The sequence below is a fragment of the Homo sapiens genome, chromosome 11 (assembly GCF_000001405.40).
Source record: "Homo sapiens chromosome 11, GRCh38.p14 Primary Assembly".
Taxonomy (NCBI): Eukaryota; Metazoa; Chordata; class Mammalia; order Primates; family Hominidae; genus Homo; species Homo sapiens.
The window spans coordinates 122,855,884-122,877,378 of record NC_000011.10 but is presented as its reverse complement, the minus strand read 5'-3'; the positions used below and the strand labels follow the sequence as shown (position 1 = coordinate 122,877,378).

The 21,495-nt window shown below is 41.1% G+C and overlaps 1 protein-coding gene across 3 annotated transcripts in view, besides 1 other annotated feature; it reads right to left on the bottom strand.

Annotated features, from left to right (window-relative positions):
- Positions 1-4,735: 4,735 nt before the first annotated feature.
- Positions 4,736-21,495, bottom strand: part of CRTAM (cytotoxic and regulatory T cell molecule) — a 34,144-nt gene continuing 17,384 nt past the window's right edge. For 2 of the 3 annotated variants that reach the window (NM_019604.4, XM_011542900.3), the window contains 5 exons: positions 14,835-14,915; positions 12,660-12,743; positions 9,824-9,970; positions 9,280-9,366; positions 4,736-6,110 (listed from right to left, as the gene is read on the bottom strand). In NM_019604.4, coding sequence (NP_062550.2) covers positions 5,980-6,110; positions 9,280-9,366; positions 9,824-9,970; positions 12,660-12,743; positions 14,835-14,915 — 530 coding nt within the window. In that variant the 3' untranslated portion in view covers positions 4,736-5,979. Of the gene's footprint in view, positions 6,111-9,279; positions 9,367-9,823; positions 9,971-12,659; positions 12,744-14,834; positions 15,049-21,495 lie in introns of those variants that run through there. The other variant, NM_001304782.2, reaches the window with a different exon arrangement.
- Positions 20,654-20,863: an enhancer, noted in NCBI's record as "active region_5674". NCBI's record gives its function as "activates an Ori minimal core promoter by ATAC-STARR-seq in GM12878 lymphoblastoid cells {active_cell/tissue: GM12878}" and the evidence as "EXISTENCE:reporter gene assay evidence [ECO:0000049][PMID:35858748]".

Sequence of the window (21,495 nt, the reverse complement as noted above, 5' to 3'; positions counted from 1 at the left end):
ACATTGTTCTCACCCATCTTTAACAAAGATCAGTATGTGGCCAACCTTGTTTCCATACATACTGTGCTCCTCCCAGACTAAATTATTTAGAAGCAAATGTCAGCTATCACATGGTTTAATCTGTAAGTACTTAAGATGTGTCCCCAAGAGATCATTTGTAAATAACCATGACACCACGATCACATCTAAAACAAAATTAGTAATAACTTCTTAATATCGTCTAATCCTCAGTGTTCAGACTTCCCAGACTGTCTCCTACGTGTCTTTATAATTGGTTGGTTTAAATCAGGACCCAAACAAGTTCTACAAAGTGATTTTTAAAAGCTAACAGCTTGGCTGGGTGCAGTGGCTCACACCTGTAACCCCAGCACTTTGGGAGGCCAAGGTGGGCAGATCACTTGAGTCCAGGAGTTCGGGACCAGCCTGGCCAACATGGTGAAACCCTGTCTCTCCTAAAAATACAAAAATTAGCTGGGCATGGTGGCGCGTGCCTGTAATCGTAGCTATTTGGGAGGCTGAGACAGGAGAATCTCCTGAACCCTGGGAGGAGGTGGTTGCAGTGAGCCGAGACTGTGCCACTGCACTCCAGCCTGGGTGACAGAGTGAGTAAAACTCAGTCTCAAAATAAAGTAACAGCTTTATTGAGGTATAATTCACATACCTCACAATTCATCCTCTTAAAATGCACAATTGAGTAATTTTTAAAATATTCAGAGTGGCACAATCATCACGACCAGCTAATTCCAGACTGTCTCCCCAAAGGAAGCCCCATATCCATTAGCAGTCACCCCTCATTTCCCACTTCCCTCAGCCCTTGCCAGCCACTTATCTCTTTTCTGTCTCTTTGGATTGGTGTATTCTGAACATTTCATATAAATGGCTTCATACAATATGTGTTTTGTGAGTGTGTGTCTGGCTTTTCTCACTTAGCATAATGTTTTCAAAGTTCATGTTACAGCATGTATCAGTACTCCATTTCTTTTTATTACCAAATAATATTTCACTTTTTTTTTCTGTTTTGAGATGGAGTTTTGCTCTTGTTGCCCAGGGTGGAATGCAATGGTGTGATCTAGGCTCACCACAACCTCCGCCTCCTGGGTTCAACTGATTCTCCTGCCTCAGCCTCCCGAGTAGCTGGGATTACAGGCATGTGCCACCACGCCCGGCTAATTTTGTATTTCATATTTTTAGTAGAGACGGGGTTTCTCCATGTTGGTCTGGCTGGTCTCCAACTCCTGACCTCAGCTGATCCGCCCACCTTGGCCTCCCAAAGTGCTGGGATTATAGGCATGAGCCACTGCGCCCAGCCTCACTTTATGAATATACCACAACTTATTTACCCATTCATCATTTGATGGCCATTTGGGTTGTTTTCACCTTTGACCATTATAAATAATATTGCTATTAGTATTCCTGTACAAGGTTTTTTTTTTTTTTTGAGACAGGGTCTCATTGTCAGCTTGAGTGCAGTGGCACTATTATTTACCCATTCGTCATTTGATGGTAATTTGGGCTGTTTTCACTATTGACTATTATAAATAATATTGCTATTAATATTCCTGTAAAAGGTTTTTTTGTTTTGTTTTGTTTTTTGTTTTTTTTTTTTCGAGACAGGGTCTCATTGTCAGCTTGAAGGCAGTGGCACCATCGTGGCTCACTGCAATCTTGACCTCTGGGGCTCAAGTGATCCTCCCACCTCAGCCTCCCAAGTAACTGGGACAATAGGCGAGGGCCACCATGCCCCACTAATTCCTTCTTGTAATCTTTTGTAGAGACGGGGTTTTGCCACATTGCCCAGGCTGGTCTCAAACTCCTGAGCTCAAGCGATCTGCCCACTTTGGCCTCCCAAAGTGCTGGGATTACAGGCATGAACCACCGCACCTGGCCAATATTACTGTACAAGTTTTTGTGTGGAGATATATATATATATATATATATTTTTTTTTTTTTTTTCAGACAGAGTCTCGCTCTATTGCCCAGGCTGGAGTGCAGTGGCACGATCTTGGCTCACTGCAACCTCCGGCTCCCGGGTTCAAGCAATTCTCCTGCCTCAGCCTCCTGAGTAGCTGGGCTTGCAGGCTCACACTACCACACCCAACTAATTTTTGTATTTTTAGTAGAGATGGAGTTTCACTATGAGCCACCACGCCCCGCCTGTGTGGACATATTTTTCAATTCTCTTGGGTATATTCTTTCTAGGAGTAGAACTGCTGAAGCATATGGTAACCCTATGTGTAACTTTTTGAGTAACGCAAGGCTGTTTTCCAATGTGGCTGAGCTATTTTACATTCTCACCAGTCATGTCTGAGGGCTCTCATTTCTCTATAACCTTTCCAAAATTTGTTATTTTCTCTTTTTTATTATAGCCATTTTTATAGGTGTGAAGCGGCATCATATTCCAGTTTCGATTTGCGTTTCCCATCTTTTCTTGTGCTCATGGCTGTTTTTATTACATAGTTATTTTAATGATATATTTCAAATTTCAGTTTAAAAACTAGTGTCTGAGCAATCTCTAAAGCTGATCAGTACATTTTTAAAGTATTGTAAAAACTCATGAGTTTTAATGTATTTAACATGTTTCAATCACTACTCTTTATTTATTTATTCATTTATTTTTATTTTATTTATTTATTTTTTTTTGAGACAGGGTCTCGCTCTGTCACCAGGCTGGAGTGCAGTGGCGCGATCTCAGCTCACTGCAACCTCCCTCTTCCGGGTTCAAGCGATTCTCCTGCCTCAGCTTCCTGAGTAGCTGGGACTACAGGTGCATGCCACTACGCCCAGCAAATTTTTGTATTTTTAGTAGAGACGAGGTTTCACCATGTTGACCAGGATGGTCTTGGTCTCTTGACCTCGTGATCTACCTGCCTCAGCCTCCCAAAGTGCTGGAATTACAGGCATGAGCCACCATGCCCGGCCCAATCACTACTCTTTTTTAATGCTCAGATTATCCCATCTTTGGCCACTGAAAGTCCCTGGAGGGTGTACACAAATTGGTTTCTGGGCCCTTTAACACAGTTCCAGAAGAGTCTTTGATAGCTTCCTTTCTTTCTAGTATAAAATGTTCTAGCCTCGTTGATGTGGTTTGGATATTTGTTCCCTCCAAATCTCATGTCGAAATGTAATCTCCAGTGTTGAAGGTGGGGCCTGGTAGAAGGTATTTTGATCACAGGGGTAGGTCCCTCAAGAATAGCTTGGTACCATCCTGTTGCTAATGGGTGAGTTCTCACTCTGAGTTCATCGAGATCTGGTTGTTTAAAAGTGTGTGGGCCAGTTTGGCAACTCATGTCTATAATCTCAGCACTTTGGGAGGCCGAGGTGGGCAGATCACTTCAGCCCAGGAGTTTGAGATCAACCTAGGCAAGATGGCATTTGGGAGAATAATGACATTTTTGTGGCCTTAGTTTTGGTTTGCTTCTAACTGGAAACAAGACATAGAGCAGAAAACGTAAGAAAAAATTAACATTTAAAAAAATTTTTTTTTCAGACAGAGTCTTGCTCTGTCTCCCAGACTGGAGTGCAGTAGTGCGATCTTGGCTTACTGCCACCTCCGCCTCCCAGGTTCAAGCAATTGTCCTGCCTCAGCCTCCCGAGTAGCTGGGATTACAGGTGCCCGCCACCACACCCAGCTAATTTTTGTATTTTTATTAGAGATGGGGTTTCACCATCTTGGCCCGGCTGGTCTCGAACTCCTCACCTCGTGATCCACCCGCCTCAGCCTCCCAAAGTGCTCGGATTACAGGTGTGAGCCACTGCGCCTGGCCTAAAAATTAACATATTTCAACAGGTCTAGAGTAATTATCAATTATAACAAATTTGCTCTTGAACAAATTTGTTCAAAGCAATCACAGGAAGGGGGAGGGCTTCTCTCTTGGAAGGTACAACATTGAACAATAGAACTATATTTCATCTAGCTCAAAACCCCATTATATGCCAGGCACAGTGGCTCATGCCTGTAATCCCAGCACTCTGGGATTGTATTTTTTGGTAGAAGCAATTCTCCTGACTCAGCCTTCTGAGTAGCTGGGATTACAGGCATGCACCACTACACCCAGCTAATTTTTGCATTTTTAGTAGAAATGGGGTTTCACCATGTTGGCCAGGCTGGTCTCGAACTCCAGACCTCAGGTGATCCGCCTGCCTCTGCTTCCTAAAGTGCTGGGATTACAGGCGTGAGCCATTGTGCCTGGCCCAATGAAATAAACTTAACATCGCTTCTGTGACAGTCCTATGAGAGCTGCACAACTTGAATCTAACCACGAGGAAGCAGACAAAGCCAAATTGAGAGATGATCTACAAAATAACCAGCCTGTAATCTTCAAAAATATCCAGGTCATGAAAGGCAAGCCAAGACCGAAGAACTGTTCCAAACTGAATGAGACTAAAATGAAGTGTGACTCTGAACTGGATCCTTTGGGACAATTGGAGAAACCTGAATGGAGTCTGAGGACTGTTCGTGGAAGCAGAACAGTGCTAATTTCCCACTTTTGATGGTTGCATTGTGTTTCTAAAGGAGAGCGTTCTTATTTGTAGGAAGCACACACTGAAGGATTTGGGGGGTGATGGGTATTGTGTCAACTTACTCTCAAATGATTCCAGGGGGAAAAGTGCTTTGTTCTATCTTTACACTTTTCTGTAATGTTGTGATTGTCCAAAACAGTTTTGTCAAGAGAACAAAAAATCAGCATGGTTGGATCTGGCCCCTATCACAAATTACAGACTTACAATGTGCACATATGTTATTTTGTAATTGGTTTATTCAGATTCCAACAATGAGAAATGCTCCACATAAATGCCAAAGTTTGCTGTATAGCTTAAATAAACTGATCGGAAAAGAAAGGCATGTCCCATGTTACTTTCACACGTGAAAACAGGAAGTATAACTTGGTATAACCACTAGAAAAACAAACATCTATTCTGCTTTTTATTAAAACATTTTAAAAAGCCATCCATTAGGTCAATAATCAGTAAATTCAACCCATCATTTTCTTTTGCACATGTATTGGTCATGGAATTTCCAGGTAAAAATCTTATCTGACAGACAAGGTCCGCTCATGTGATTTAGTAATCTAAGGAATTCGAATCTTTGGGCCTACCCTGAGCTCCTCTTTGTGCCTTGGGGCATGGGTTCTGGGGCCTTCTTGCTCATCTGACTCATTTATTGTCATGTATCACTCCTCCCTGACATTGCTTTGTGCTGGTTACATCTTAAAAGTCTGTCTTGGAAGTAACTTCTTTTTTTTTGAGACAGAGTCTCCCTCTGTTGCCCAGGCTGGAGTGCAGTGGTGAGATCTTGACTCACTGCAATCTCCACCTCCCAGGTTCAAGCGATTCTCCACCCTCAGCCTCCCAAGTATCTGAGACTACAGGTGCGCACCACTACGCCTGGCTAATTTTTGCATTTTTAGTAGAGACGGGGTTTCACTATGTTGGCCAGGCTGGTCTCCAACTCCTGACCTCAAGTGATCTGCCTACCTCAGCCTCCCAAAGTGCTAGGATTACAGGCATGAGCCACCGCGCCTGGCCAGAAGTAACTTCTTAGGATCAGAGATCTTTAGGTACTTTGCATCCCAAATTTCTTTATTTTGTGACCAGAAGAAAATATTAAAAAGAAAAAAAAATTTTTTAAACAGTTCCATTAGAGCAAAGCATCAAAAAATCCTGTTCCATTTGAGGTAGGATGTTAGCTGCTCACACTGACCCTGATCCCCAAGGCTTCGTAGAATCCTCCTGCTCTGAAGTAGTGTCAGGCATAATTATTTTTTTGCTTTTCTTTTTTAAACTACAAGCTTTATGTGCATGGTTTGGTCCTCATGTTGCTGCCCTAGCTCCGGGGCAGATCATTATCCGAGGACACCATCTTGCATTGCACTAAGAGGTCATTATTAATGTCTCAGCAATTAAGCTCCTTCCCCCAGGCTGGTCCACTGAGGTGACACTGCGGCAACCCTGAAATCACATGTTCCATTGCAGAGAGCACTACACAATACTCTCTGGTACTTGGATGTGCTTTTCTTCTAATTTTGAATGTTGTACATTTTCCTTCCTCTTTGTTTTTGCTTCTGAGTACAACTTTGTGATGTAGTTCATGCAACGCATAGGGTGGGAAGCTGAAAGAAAAACATGTTGAAGATGAATATTTATTTTGAATAACATTGCACCCATTTACTTGAAACACTTTGATTGGATATCATATTTTTAGGTTCACATATTGCTTTATAAAAACCTAAAACTTACTGATGCATATAAATGGTCTGAAGGCATTATTATATTCTTTTTTGTTTTTCGTGGTTTTTTTTTGAGACAGGTTCTCACTCTGCCACCCAGGCTGAAGTGCAGTGGTGTGATCACGGCCCACTGCAGCCTCAGCCTCCCGGGCTCAAGTGATCCTCTAACCTTAGCCTCTTGAGTACCTGGAATTACAGGCACACACTACCATGCCCAGCTAATTTTCAAATTATTTGTAGAGACGGGGTTTCACTATATTGCCTAGGCTGGTCTCAAACACCTGGGCTCAAGTGATCCACCCGCCTCAGCCTCCCCAAATCCTGGGATTATAGGCATAAGCCACTGCACTGGCCTATACTATAATTTTTAAAGAAGTCTTACTATATAAACAATATACTGGTAAACGTGAAATAAAATATACAGATATTTCTGCTGTAAAATAATCTGTTGCTGACCATAACATATTGCCTTAGCAAAATTGCACACTAGAAATAACAGGGCTTACTGCAAAAATAGGGTCGGGGCAGATCACACTCAAGGCCTATGCAATTCTGTACAAAGAGACTAGAGATGGCCCCAGAGAATATTTTTAATATGTCCAAAACAACACAATTAAAATGCTAGATTTGAGGGTGCTAAGGCAAGGAGGATGAAAGTGAAGGCTTGAGCTCGGGAGAAAGTGAAACCCCCAGCAAACCCCTGAAGATGTACTTTTCTGGGGAGGAATCCCCTGAGTCGTGCAGGTACTCATTTTAAATATTCTTAAAGTTGGCTGGGCGTGGTGGCTCATGCCTGTAATCCCAGCACTTTGGGAGGCCAAGGTGGGTGGATCACTTGAGTCCAGGAGTTCAAGACCAGCCTGGGCAACATGGTGAAACCCCATCTCTACTAAAAATATAAAAATTAACTGGGCGTGGTGGTGCGTGCCTGTAGTCCCAGCTACTAGGAAGGCTGAGGCGGGAGGACTGATTGAGCTCGAAAGGTCAAGGCTGCAGTGACCTATGATGGCACCATGGCACTCCAGCCTGGGCAACAGAGTGAGAGACCCTGTCTCAAAAAAAAAGAAAGAAAAATTGTTTTAAAAGTTGAACTGGAAGGGCTTCCATTTTTCCAGCTAACAGACATAATTCTACTCCCACTGTTTTGGTTCTTCTTGCCTAGGAAAAACAGCTCAGGGAGCAACCCAACTCACACATGATATTAACATCATTTTCCTGTCCACCAGGTGAGTATGTGATGACGGGTATTTAGAAACAGGTGTTGCAACACAATCGACTTGGATGTTATTTACACACATTTTCCCCTCCCACCCCCAGTTTTCACACAGTCAATTCTCTTGTGTTCCTTTCCCAGCTAGTACATCTATTCATTCTTTTCAGTTCACGCTCTAGTAGGTCAAAACCTAAAGAGGCAGAGGTGTTATAAAAGACAAGCCTCCTACAAAAACCTCAGTAAAACCAATAGAATAGAGCGGCAAAACTCGCTGTATTTCTTGCAGCTCCTGGCGGGTAGAATAAGTTAGTTTGTATGGAGGAAATAATATGGTTGGAAGGTGGAATATTCTTGCTTTTCTATAGTCCTAGCTTCTGCCTTCCAGATCTTTATCAAGAATACAATCCCCAACCTCCACTTCCCATACACAATCTCCTTCCCATCCCGATTCTCTTCATTTTCTTTACATATTTTGTCTCAGGAATTGCAATGAAGTCATCCAAAGGACCTGACACATGCCTTCTTGAATTAATTGAGCCTATAGTCACTCATTTAACACAAATTTATCAACTAACCTGTGCTAGAATCTGAGGATACAGAGTAAATCTGATTACTCACCACCTAAAGGAGTATTGTAGTAGCTATGTAAAAACACCAAAAATTACAATATGGAGGAAGACGTGCTTCTATGACAAAGGTGTCATAGGATCCTCTGGTGGTCTTGGGGTATCCCTGTGTGTGACGTCAAACAGTCAAGGATGGCTTCCCAAAAGGAAGTCACCTTCTGCTACATGAACTTAACTGCTACTATTTATTTTTGCAGATGAGACTCCTTAAGTTCTACAGGATGATTTAGGAGACTTTCTAGTGCTAAAAAATCAGATTTTGATTCTTCTCCTTCTTTTTATTTATTTTTATTTTTATTTTTTTGAGGTGGAGTCCCTCTCTGTCACCCAGGTTGGAGTGCAGTGGCACGATCTCGGCTCACTGCAAGCTCCGCCTCCCGGGTTCACGCCATTCTCCTGCCTCAGCCTCCCAAGTAGCTGGGACTACAGGCTCCTGCCACCATGCCCGGCTAATTGTTTTGTATTTTTAGTAGAGACAGGGTTTCACTGTGTTAGCCAGGATGGTCTCGATCTCCTGACCTCGTGATCCGCCCGCCTCGGCCTCCCAAAGTGCTGGGATTACAGGCGTGAGCCACCGTACCCAGCCTCCTTCTTTTTAAAGGCGACTACTTAATTGCGATGGTTAATTTTAAGTGTTAAGTTGGGTGGATTAAGAAATACCTCAAATCTGGTAAAGCATTATTTTTGGGTTTGTCTATGAGGTTGTTTCTAGAGGAGATTAGTGTGTGAGTCTGAGTGGAGTAGGTGGGCATTGAGATTTGCCCTTGATGTGGATGGGCACCATCCATTCTGTTGGGGGCCCAGAAAGAACAAAATCAGAAAGAAGGCAAATGTGTTGATCTGTCTGCTGGAGCTGGAATACACTCCCTCCTCTCTCCTGGCAGCAGAACTCGAGACTCCCTAGCTTCGGATTTCAGGACTTAACGCTGGCGGTCCCCTGAGTTCTCAGGCCTTTGAACTTGGACTGAGCCAGGCTACCAGCATACCAGGGTCTCCAGTTTGCAGACCTCCTGTCCAAGGACTTGTCAGCCTCCATAATCTCATGAGCCAATTCCCCTAATAAATCCCACCTCATACACACACACACACACACACACACACACACACACACACACACACACACATATTCTGTTGTCTCTGTCTCTCTGGAGAAATCTGACTAATACATTAATGAACCTCATTGTTCAGATCTCAGGTCATACAGTTGACTTACATTGGCCATTTTTCTCTTCAGATGATGTTTCTTCATTATTTGACCTTGATCTGTAACTTTCTAGTGTGTGTTCTGAAACTTCGTTTTCTACAAAAAAAGAAAATCAAGCAACTAATTTCTGATGCCATGGACATGTAGAAATGTATATTTGAATAAGATAATACCTCTGTTACTGTGCAATAGTAGACTTACCATGCCCCTCCCATAACTCATACCTCATTAATTCAACACATAGTTTTTGATTCCTGTAGGGACTGTGCTAGGCAGTCCTGGGATTTTTATCCTTCTGTGAATAGAAGTGTCTATCATTTAATGCCAATTTCTGGATCTATGCTAGTTTCTATTGATTATACACTCTTAGACTATAGTCCCTGGAGATTCACACCCGAGTTTACTAGAAAACAAACAATTGCTTATCTGAGACAGCACTTATCAAATAGATTATGTAGTGTCTGACAGAAAGCTTTAATGGACAGAATTTCCCTTTTTTTTAGCCATTTGTTCTGGCGTCTTATAGCCCCCGTCAGGTTCCCTGCCCACTGACCTTTCTTCCATATCACATGTGCTTTCCTCAGCTTCATGATGAAGAGCTGGACTATGATGAAGAGTATGAAAATGAGGAAGGACACCAGCGTGAGCAGCAGGATGCCACTTTTCTTTCTTGCCAGTCCTAAATACTGAGGATTTGCTTCTATAAGGAAAATGAAAAAGGAGTTTAGATACTTTGGGTTTTTTTTTTTTTTTTGCCACTGGAGAATATGTAACAATACTTCTACAATGTGATATAAGCTAATAGACAGCTCAGATGAAGAGATGAGAAAGAGCTTACCCCTGAAGGTAAAGAGACTTACATTGTTCATTCTCTGAGAACAAGCAAACAGGCATACAACAAACAAGGCAATTATGTGTGATGATTTGAAAAGATTTTTTAAGTGACGTAGCTATTGGGCTAGTTATTTTTTATTTCTACAGAAAGCATATGAGAAAATCGACTTAAGTTATAGTCAGGAGATTCAAATTAGCTTTAGGAATGATTTTTAGCAAAATATAGTTAAGTAGCAAGAGGGATTGTTAAGGAGTTTAAAAAACTATCCAAATAAAATGAAAATTTATTTATCTTGGTTAGGTTAAATGTGGCCCTACAGGAAGGCATTTGGGCTAAATCAGATGAGCTTGTGAAAATATTTCTAGCCAGGTGCAGTGGCTCATGCCTGTAATCCCAGCACTTTGGGAGGCTGGGATGGGAGGGTTGCTTGAGGCCAGGAGTTTGAGACCAGCCTGGGCAACATAGTGACACTTTGTCTCTACAAAAATAATAATAATAAAAAATTAGCCAGGAGCAGTGGTGCACACCTGTAGTCCTAGCTACTTGGGAGACTGAGGCAGAGGATCACTTGAGTCCAGGAGTTTAAGGTTACAGTGAGCTATGACTGTGAAACTGCACTCCAACCTGGGAGACAGATGAGACCTGTCTCTTAAAAAAAAAAAAAAAGGCTTTCTAAACCTAGAATTCTGATTCTATGGGCTGTAGTCTTGCTAAATGTCCTAGTCACCTCATCTTAACCAATGAATAATTAAGGAGTGCCAGCTATGTGTAGAACATTGTGCTTGGACCTACAGAAGGCACAGTTCACATGCTTTGGGGATTAGCTGTCTCTATATATAAACAAATTAATAAAAACAAACAAAAGTAAGATATGTCAAATTCTGGATCCATATGTATTTATATCATAGTGTGTTCAGGGGTTCAGAGGCAAGAATGGTCTCTGAGGGTTGAGTTGGTCAAAAAAGTTTTCAGTGAAGATATTGGCCTTGAAGAGGGAGTAAGGAGAGGTGAGAGGAGGTCTCCTCTTCCACCAGGGGCAGTGAGGATAAACAAGGGCAGGGCGATTGAAAAGGGTTGATGTTTTCAGAGAAAAATATGTATCTCATAAGGACTTTGTAGATATGAGACTGCAGAAGTAGGTAATAGATGGCACCTAATGAGGTGTTTGGGACTCATGCTCTGTGTTGTAGACTTCAGGAAGCTATAAAGGGTTTTAGAACACAGGTATGCAGATAAAGAGATATTTTGATGGTAGGGTGCTAAAAGTGAACCAGAGGAGGAGAAACTGAAGTTATAATACTCCATGCAGGAGATGATGAGAGCCTGGATTGGGACGTTAACAGTGACAATGGACAAAATACCTGAAAGACAAGACTCAAAAGTTCTTGGAAATTGACTGATTTTATATACGTGTGTGCATATGCATATACATATACACATAGATATATTTGTACACATACATAGGAGTGATAGATAACACCAAGGTTTGGGACCCGTGTGTTGCTTTGGGGCCTGTGTGATGCTTTGGACAAGCTGATTTTGTGGGAGAAGGTGCTGTTTGGTATTTAGCAATGTTGAGTTTGGGGAAATCACAGAAAATTCAGCTACAGATACATAGAAAATGGAAAGAAATTGGGAGCAATGCTGAGGAGGATGTTCTGGAAATATAGGTATAGAAATCTTTTGCTTACTGGGCACAGTGGCTCACACCTGTAATCCCAGCTATTTGGGAGGTGGAGGTAGGAGATCTCTTGAGCCCTGGAGTTCAAGGCTGCGGTGAACATGATCGTGCCCCTGCACCCTGGCCTGGGAGACAGAGAGAGACCCTGTCTCTAAAAACAAAACAAAACCAGAAAAAAAAAAGAGAGAAATCTTTTGCCTAGTGGCAACAGGAACCATCTTGGGAATGAGTAAACTCTTTAAAAAATAAGGGAAGAACAGCCGGGCGCGGTGGCTCACGCCTGTAATCCCAGCACTTTGGGAGGCCGAGGCAGGCAGATCACCGGAGGTCGGGAGTTCAAGACCAGACTGACCAACATGGATAAACCCCATCTCTACTAAAAATACAAAATTAGCTGGGGTGGTGGCGTGTGCCTGTAATCCCAGCTACTCGGGAGGCTAAGGCAGGAGAATCACTTGAACCCGGGAGGTGGAGGTTATAGTGAGCTGGGATTGCACCACTGCACTCCAGCCTGGGCAACAAGAAAGAAACTCTGTCTCACAAAAAAAATATATATATATAAAAAAAAGGGAAGAACAAAAGATGGAGAAGTAAAATCAGAAGTACATACACATTTAAGAAGTCAGAAGAGGAAGATAAGTTAATTAATGGATACAGAGAAGCAGTGGTTAGCAACAAATAACAGAACCAGGAAAAGTATGTCAAGAAGCCGAGAGGTAACTAAATCAAGGAGGGACAAGGGAGTGATTAACCAATCATGTCCTAAAGGGCAGAAAGGTCAAGAAAAGGGAGGACTGACAAAGGCCATTGAATTTATCGATTAAGAGGTTAAAATGTCGAGTGTTTATTCTAAATGCAGTGGGTGACACTTACCGGTGGTCAAGTCAGGATCTTGAGTGGTTTGTTCTTTCTCTTCCTTGTCAATCTCCGATGTACTAGAATCTTCCGTTACTGAGACTAAAGTGAAAGAAGATAAAACATGAGCTATGCATGCATTATATACATGTGACTACATACAACTGTAGTTACGTAAGTCTTCCCAGAGCAGCTTGGGAAGCCAAATTTAAAAACAGTACTGAGATCATTTGTGAACTATGGATTTCTTGCAAACATAATTGCAAATGGCTAGGCTCACTTTGCCTTATTTTTTTAAGGTAAATGTTTTGGGCATTTACTCTGTGCCTGGCCTTGAACTGAGCACTTGGTATATATTATTTCTCACCACAGCTCTGAGAAAACGGAGGTTTAGAGCAGTTATGTAAAGTACCTAAAGTCCTGTAGCAAATAAGTGGCAAAGCCAATACATAAACTCTGTTTTACCTAACTCTAGAGCCCAGCATTTAAACCATTATTTCATATTTCCATCCTGAATCAGGCCTATTAGGGAGAAGGTCTTTAGGATGCTTCAAGATAACAACTGAACACCGAGGAACGGCATTCCAAGCTTTAATTATAGAAAACCTACAGCCTGAAATTTATGTTGAAATATAGCTTCAGTTATTCAAACCTCTGCTTGCCTCCCCATTAGAAGTGGGATGTACTATGATGTTTTTTCTAGATAAGATAAATTATAAAAAATCAGAAACTGTGTGGTTTTTTTTTCCAGATTTTACTGCTGATGTTTCCAATTTCCTTTTTTCTCTCTGCAGTTTCTTGCTTTTTAGTCCATTGCACAGCGCCACTATGTGGACCCCGAGGGGAATGAAGCCTCCCATTCTATTGAAAATGGGTATTAAATGTAATAAAATCGTAGAAATGGAAAGCTGAAAGGAATTTTAGAAACCCTATTTTAAAAGTCTTATATATGAAAAAGCAGAGCAGAAAATTGAGTTGCTCAGTAGCAAGCCGTTAAAGATTACTAGATTCTAAACACGTTTACAAATATTGGATTATTAAAGCAAGTGATGTGGCTGTTCCACTTCATAATATTTTCAATTTCCATTGTCCTTCAAAAAATTGTATGGTACATGTTGTATTTATCAGTGTTTAGAAATCCCAAACATTTACTTTTAAATATTATTTAGGATACAAATTTTTAAAAATATGATCTGATACTCAGAACTATGAACATGATAATGCTCTGAAAGCCCTTATTCCAACAAATGAAATTATTATTGACACATTACATGAAATGGAAAGAGAATATGTAGGAATTTATGCCTTTCTGGATGAGGCTAATAGTCTTGCTCAAAGCACCATAACCAATTCTTTCTTTCTTTCTTTTTCTTTCTTTCTTTCTTTTTCTTTCTTTCTTTCTTTCTTTCTTTCTTTTTCTTTCTTTCTTTTCTTTCTCTCTTTCTTTCTTTTTCTTTCTTTCTTTTTCTTTCTTTCTTTTCTTTCTCTCTTTCTTTCTTTCTTTCTTTCGTAATTCATTTTCTGAGAAGCTGCTATTGCTGGATACTATGCTAGGTAAAATACAAAGTTAAATTAGATATACAATCATTGCTCTGAGTTAACCTCTAGTGAGTTCACTGTCTAAAAAATTGGAATTATAATCCAGGCTTTCTAAATTATTCTGTATTTGTAGTTCAATCCCATCATCAAAAATGACCTGAGTTATTGACAATCAAGTAATTGATGTGCCTTCAGAGGTGATTTTGTTATTCAATGACAACACCAAATCTCCAGCTTCTGCTTCTTTTCTCTTTGTTGATACCAAGTCTGTGTTTTGTGTTTGGTGTGCTTCAGATGGGAAAACAAAGAAACGAGTCTCTCTATAAATGAATTCAACTTTGTCCTTTACTGCAGAGGAAATTCAAATGTCACAGTCGTGAATGTGTGTGTGTACATGTGTACATCTCTATCTCAGGCAAACTAGAACTGAACTTGCAAAGCTTTATGTCAGCCTGAAGCCCATCCCACTAAGTATTCCGATGCCTGATGTGGTTCTTCTCTAGGATGGTACAAAGCTGGAGCCAGTTGGAGGGGCCTGTATGGTCTTAGTAAAAATTAAAACAAAAAATATTCTTAAAACTTAGAATGAGAAAAATAACCTTCCCAAGGAAACGTGATTTTTTAAAAACAAGTTTGAATGATTTTGACACTTACCAGTACTGGTGGGCTGCTGTGGGTCTTGAGAGGATAGAGAGTTTCTCTCCAGAGCATCTGAAGCTGTCTCTTCATCAGTAACTAGGAAAGGGGAAAAACAAAATTCTGCTACTATAGAGAGCAGTTTTACCCACATTGTGCTCAGTAAAAGAGATTGGAGAATATATTTAGCGGCTACCTGCTTGTAGAGGTTGTGCAGAAACCCCAGAACTGTGTGTTCTGTGGCTCCTGCTCTGGTTTTTGAATCTGTATCCCACTGAGTGTCCATCTGCTCACCTGCCTGGCTTAAAGCACAGCATGCTGGACCTCTGTGTGGTGGCAGTGGTAGGCAAAGAGTATTCACTGTTTCTATCTGTGTCCTTCTATCCATCAATCAATCCCTCTGTCTGTTTATCTACCCATCCACCTATCTATCTACCTATTAGATGGCTTTGGAATCAGCCTCAGACTGGGCTGAATTCCAGTGCTGCTATTTACCTGCTCCTGAATGAGTTGGACAAGATACCCGACCTAGCACTTTTTTTTCTCTTATCTGTAAAATGGAGATACTGACAGCATTTACCTCTTCGAGTGTTTTGTGAGAATTAGTAAGTTCATTTATATAACATGTTTAGTACAATGCCTAGCTATTTATGAAGCACAGTGCTAAATGTTATTGTATAACATTAATCAATGCTTAGGAATGTTTCCAGAGGGTCAGCCTAGTATAGGTTTTACCAGTCATTGAACAGGTTTTACCAGCCACATCCAGGAAGCATGTAATAACTGTGCCTGTCACTTTACAAATACTAACACTGACATGTCGGGTGGGCACAGTGGCTCACACCTGTAATCTCAGCACTTTGGAAGGCTGAGGTGGGTGGATCGCCTGAAATCAGGAGTTCAAGACCAGCCTGGTCAACATGGTGAAACCCCATCTCTACTTTAAATACAAAAAACTAGCCGGGCGTGGTGGTGTGTGTGTGTTTGTAATCCCAGCTACTTGGGAGGCTAAGGCAAGAGAATTGCTTGAACCTGGGAGGCAGAGGTTGCAGTGAGCCAAGATGGCACCACTGCACTCAAGCCTGGGCGACAGAGCGAGGAGACTCCCTCTCAAAAAAAAAAAAAAAAAAAAAAAAAAAAAATATATATATATATATATATATATATATATATATACGTATATGTATGTGTGTGTGTGTGTATATATATATATACTGACACGTCACAGGTGGTTCATGTTTTTATAAAATTTGTGAGTGCTTCTTGGTGTTTATTTAATCAAATAATTTTCCATGGTTTTGAAAACATATCTGGTTAATCAAACATTCAAACTGTATGAAAAATATAAAAATACCTGAATTGTGTGTAAGGGCTCTGAGGAAAGAAAGAATTACTAAGGAAACATTATAGAGATAATAGTATAGACTATAAGGCTAAAATGAACTCTGACCACACAGGTGCCAGAGAAAATTGAAGAAAGAGGAGAGCTGCTGGCAATGAAAAGAGGGAAAAGCTGGAATGCTAGTCAAATAGAAGTACTGGGAATAAATTTTAAGAAGAATATGGGGCCGGGCACAATGGTTCATGCCTGTAATCCCAGTTCTGTGGGGGGCCGAGGCAGGCAGATTGCTTAAGCCCAGGAGTTTGAGACCAGCCTAGGCAACATGGCAAGACCCCATCTCTACAAAAAAATAGCTGGGCATGGTGGTGCGCCCCTGTAGTTCCAACTACTCAGGAGGCCAAGGTAGGAGGATCATCTGAGCCCAGAGAGGTCGAGGCTGCTGTGAACCGTGATTACACCATTGCGCTCCAGCCTGGGTGACAGAGTGAGACCCTGTCTCAAAATTTTAAAAAAGAAGAAGGACATCACTGGGGACATATAGAATAAAATTTATCAATAGTGATTTAAATCTTCTAACATAGTATATACTATGTGAATTCAGAAAATTATGTTTATGTACAAAACAAGTTTTATCTATACATATTTAAAACTAGACTCTGTATTTACTTTGATTTATCCTGTTAATTAACAAGCTAGCAAACTATTGCATTTAGACTGAATGTTGTTTTAATTGGGTGGATACTGGCACATGATGATCTACCCCCCTAGTTGGTCAGAATATTGTAGACCTCTGCTATCCAATATGGTATGCACTAGCTCCAACGACTATTTAAATTAAAATTAATTAAAATGAAAATATATTAAAAATTTAGGCCAGGTGCAGTGGCTCACACCTGTAATCCTAGCACTTTGGAAGGTGAAGGCGGGCAGATCACCTGAGGCCGGGAGTTCAAGACCAGCCTGGTCAACATGGTGAAACCTGACTCTACTAATAAAAACACAAAAACTAGCTGGGCATGGTGGTGGGCACCTATAATCCCAGCTACTCAGGAGACTGAGGTGGGAGTATTGCTTGAACCTGGGAGGCAGAGGTTGCAGTGAGCTGAGATAGCACCATTGCACTCCAGTCTGAACGACAAGAGCAAGACTCCATCTCAAAAAATAAAATAGCTCCTCATTTGCAATAGTCACACTTAAAGTTCAAATTTCGGACAACTTGTATCCACCACTGTGAGTTTGACAACCTCCAAATGCTTAAAGATTTCTGATGAGATCGGTGATGATATTAATGAATGTGATTTTGATGCTGAAATATATCAACATTGGAAAGTTCTGTAGAACTTAGTGAATCAGTATTTTCCAAATGACTAAAACATAATGTTAGAAAAATCATGCCTGGGTAAAAATTCTAAGCAAAGTGTAAGACAGTTCAGTGGGTTTTAATATAACAGTATGAAAAGTTCATTGACATGGGCCCAGAGTCCACATAGCAACTAATCTTTAAGAAACTACTACTTGTTGAGTTTTGGTGTAACATCAAAGAAGAATAGCCACAATTATCTGAACCAGCTATTAAAATATTCTACCCTTTTCCAATTATATATTTGTGTGAGATTGAATTTTTATATATTTATTTAAAGCAAAATAACATTTTGGAAGAGATCGAATGCAAAAGTTACAAGAACCTAATTGTTTTCCGTTAAGCTAGACATTTATGAGATTTTCAAAATGTAAAAAAATGACATTTTCACACTAATCTTTTCAGTGTTACAAAATATACTTTTTTTTTCATTAAAATATGTCATTTCTGGGCCGGATGCGGTGGCTCACGCCTGTAATACCAGCACTTTGGGAGGCCGAGGCAGGTGGATCACCTGAGGTCAGGAGTTCAAGATCAGCCTGCCCAACATGGCGAAACCCCATGTCCACTAAAAATACAAAAAAATTAGCCAGGTGTGGTAGCAGGAGCCTGTAATGCCAGCTACTCAGGAGTCTGAGGCAGGAGAATCACTGGAACCCAGGAGGCGGAAGTTGCAGTGAGCTGAGATCGGGCCACTGCACTCATCTCAAAAAATAAGTGCACTCCATCTCAAAAAATAAAATAAAAACAAATATGCCATTTCTGTTAACATGTAGCAGATTTATTATTTTAAAATAAATTGACAGATACATATTTTTTTAATTTCTCAGTTTTAATTTCTAATAGGTAAATATTGACAGACATCACCTATATAAGTAAAAGTTCTTTGGGGTTCTCGATTATTTTTAAGATTGTAGAGAGGTCCTGAAATCAAAAGTTTGAGAACTGTTTTTCAAATATTTAAAAAATCCTATCCCCAGGTAAGTAATAGAAAACCAAGATTCCGCATTTTAAATACTAAAAAGATGAAATAAACCAGGTGCAGTAGCTCACGCCTCTAATCCCAGTGCTTTGGGTGGCCGATGAGGGAGGATTACTTAAGCCCAGGAGTTCAGACCAGCCTGGGCACCATAATGAGATTCTGTCTCTATAAAAAATTTTAAAATTAACCAGGTGTGGTGTGTGCACCTGTAGTCCCAGCTACCCAGGAGACTGAGGTGGGAGGATCACTTAAGTCTGGGAGGTAGAGGCTGCAGCGAGCTATGATTGCACTACAGCACTCCAGCCTGGGCTACAGAAGGAGACCTTGTCTCAACAAGAACAACAAAAAGAGCCAGGTGTGGTGGTTCATGCTTGTAATCCCAACACTTTGGGAGGCAGGCAGAGGTTGAGGGATCGCTTGAGCTCAGGAATTCAAGACCAGGCTGAGTAACATGGCGAAACCCCATACCTACAAAATATATGAAAATTAGCAGGGCGTGGTGGCTCATGCCTGTGCTCCCAGCCACCCCGGAGGCTGAGGCAGGAGGATCAACTTGAGCCTGGGAGGCAGAGGTTATAGCGAGCCAAGACTGTGTCACTGCCTTCCAGCCTGGGCAACAGAGTGAGACCGTCTCAAGAAAAGAAATAAATAAATGATAATTCTGAAATCTGGGTGAGGTGGCTCATGCCTGTAATCCCAGCACTTTGGGAGGCCAAAGAGGGAGAATTTCTTGAGCCTAGGAGTTTTGAGACCAGCCTGAGCAACATAGGGAGACCCCGTCTCAGCAAAAATTTAAAAATTAGCCAGATGTAGTGGTGCATGCCTGTAGTACTAGCAACTTGAGGGGCTGAGGTGGGAGGACTGATTGTGAACCTGGAAGATTGAGGCTGCAGTGAGCCGCGATCACACCACTGCACTCCAGCTTTGGTGAAAGAGTGAGACCCTGTCTCAAAAAACAAAACAAAACATAAAAACAAAGATAGCCTATTCAAAAATCAATTCCTGTTGCTCTACTCTCTTTCTCGAAGCATCACACTGTGGCTTTTTCAGAGGAAGGCACTTCTTTCCTCAGGACCACCCTAGTCCTGGTGCTGGCATGACCCTCACTTTACCCAGGTCCTTCCATGCAGAGCACAGGAATGAAAGGGGTCAGAACCCTTATGTGTAAATGTGTTTTAAAGCATCCTCAGCTAGTAATATTTTTTACCTAATTGGGTGAACAAAATGTTTGTAACATCTATATGTCAATATAGTAGCAGCTAGCCAAATGGAAGAAACAATGAACTAATGGAAGCTATCAACAGCTGATGCTGGCGTTTCTCTTTGAATACTATTTGGAGATCTGGCAATGAGTACAGCAAATAGATCACAAATAAAAATTAAGTCTTAGCCTATTATTCTTATTATTATGAGACAGAGTCTCGCTCTGTTGCCCAGGCTGGAGTGCAGTGGCGTGATCTCAGCTTACTGTAAACTCCGCCTCTCGGGTTCAAGCGATTCTTGTGCCTCAGCCTCCCAAGTAGCTGGGATTACAGGCGTCCACAATCATGCCCAGCTGATTTTTTTATTTTTAGTAGAGATGGGGTTTTGCCATGTTGGCCAGACTGGTCTCGAACTCCTGACCTCAGGTGATCTGCCCGCCTCGGCTTCCCAAAGTGCTGGGATTACAGGCGTGAGCCATTACGCCTGGCCTTAGCCTATTATTAAAAACATCTTTAGCTATAATTTTGAGTCATACAGAGCTATAGCCGTAAAGGTGGAGAACTGCCATTTCCCCCTTCATAGTAATTTTTGTAGATGGCTTGAACAATTGCTGAAAATTAAGAATGCATTTTTTTCGACATTGTTGGTTCTCCTATTGAAGAACCTGAATGTCTTTAGGAAGCTTTTAGATACAGGCTCATCCCCCACATGCCCTATGCTTCAGTTCTACTGCTGGAGGTGGAGGCGTGGGGTGGGGATGACTCACAGAGGGGTGGGGGTGGTTGTGTAAGGTTACTGTACAGCTCGGTCTGTAGGTCCATGAGTCTTACAGTGCAGCTTCTGCAATGACTACTTTTGGTTTGGTGAGAAAGTGACCCATGGAAAGTTTGTGGTAGTCAGAGGGGGCCTGTTAACCGCAGCCACAGCCCCCACAGGGCATCACGGCAGCTTTCCCACAGTGAGGTTCTCCTAAGCAAGCTTGCCTTTCAGCATCAGCGATTTCGTCTGATAAAAGAGCTTTTTCAATAAATGCATTGTCATCCAACAGTTTCCTCTTTCACTGATGTGAGTAATTCCTTATACTTTAGGATTTGATTACACAGAGAAGTACCTTGTAAAACAGTGAAACTCAGAGTCCTACTAATTGCAGACTTCTTACAGGACTCATGCATCTTAAAGGATACCTCTTGGCTCAAAGAGTTGTGTACAGTTTTAAAATTATTTCTTGGACTTTTGGGGAAAGAATCATAGAATAGAGGTTCTGAGAATGGAGGCAACTCCTCTTCACATTTAATATTGGATGTTTAAAATGGTGTTCAACTCAGAATATTAACATGGTTAAACTAAAATCTTCAAAGCAATTATAACAATAAAATAAATCTAAACAGGAATTATGTCTTCATGTATCTGTGTGTTTCATATTCACATAAAATGATATTGACAATTTAGGTTTATTTCAGCTAACATTATCTCCTTCTGGGTCAAGTACAAAGATGCAGTATGATTCATATGATTACTCCAAAAACACAACAGCAATAAAACGATTTAAAGTCATTATCAAAAAGCAAGCATGACACTATTTGCATATGGCGCTGTGCTAGGCTTTCTGCTCAACTGGGGTTCTTTTGAACATTGGAATAGTTGGAATTCCGTCACTCACCTGGAGAAATTTCAATCAGTACAGGAATTTGCTATTAGGAAAGCTTTGTTGGCAGTAATCTTAATCTGAAGGACTCTGCCCACTGCATTTAATTTTGTTTGATAGTGTAATATTAAAGTAAATCAAAAATTA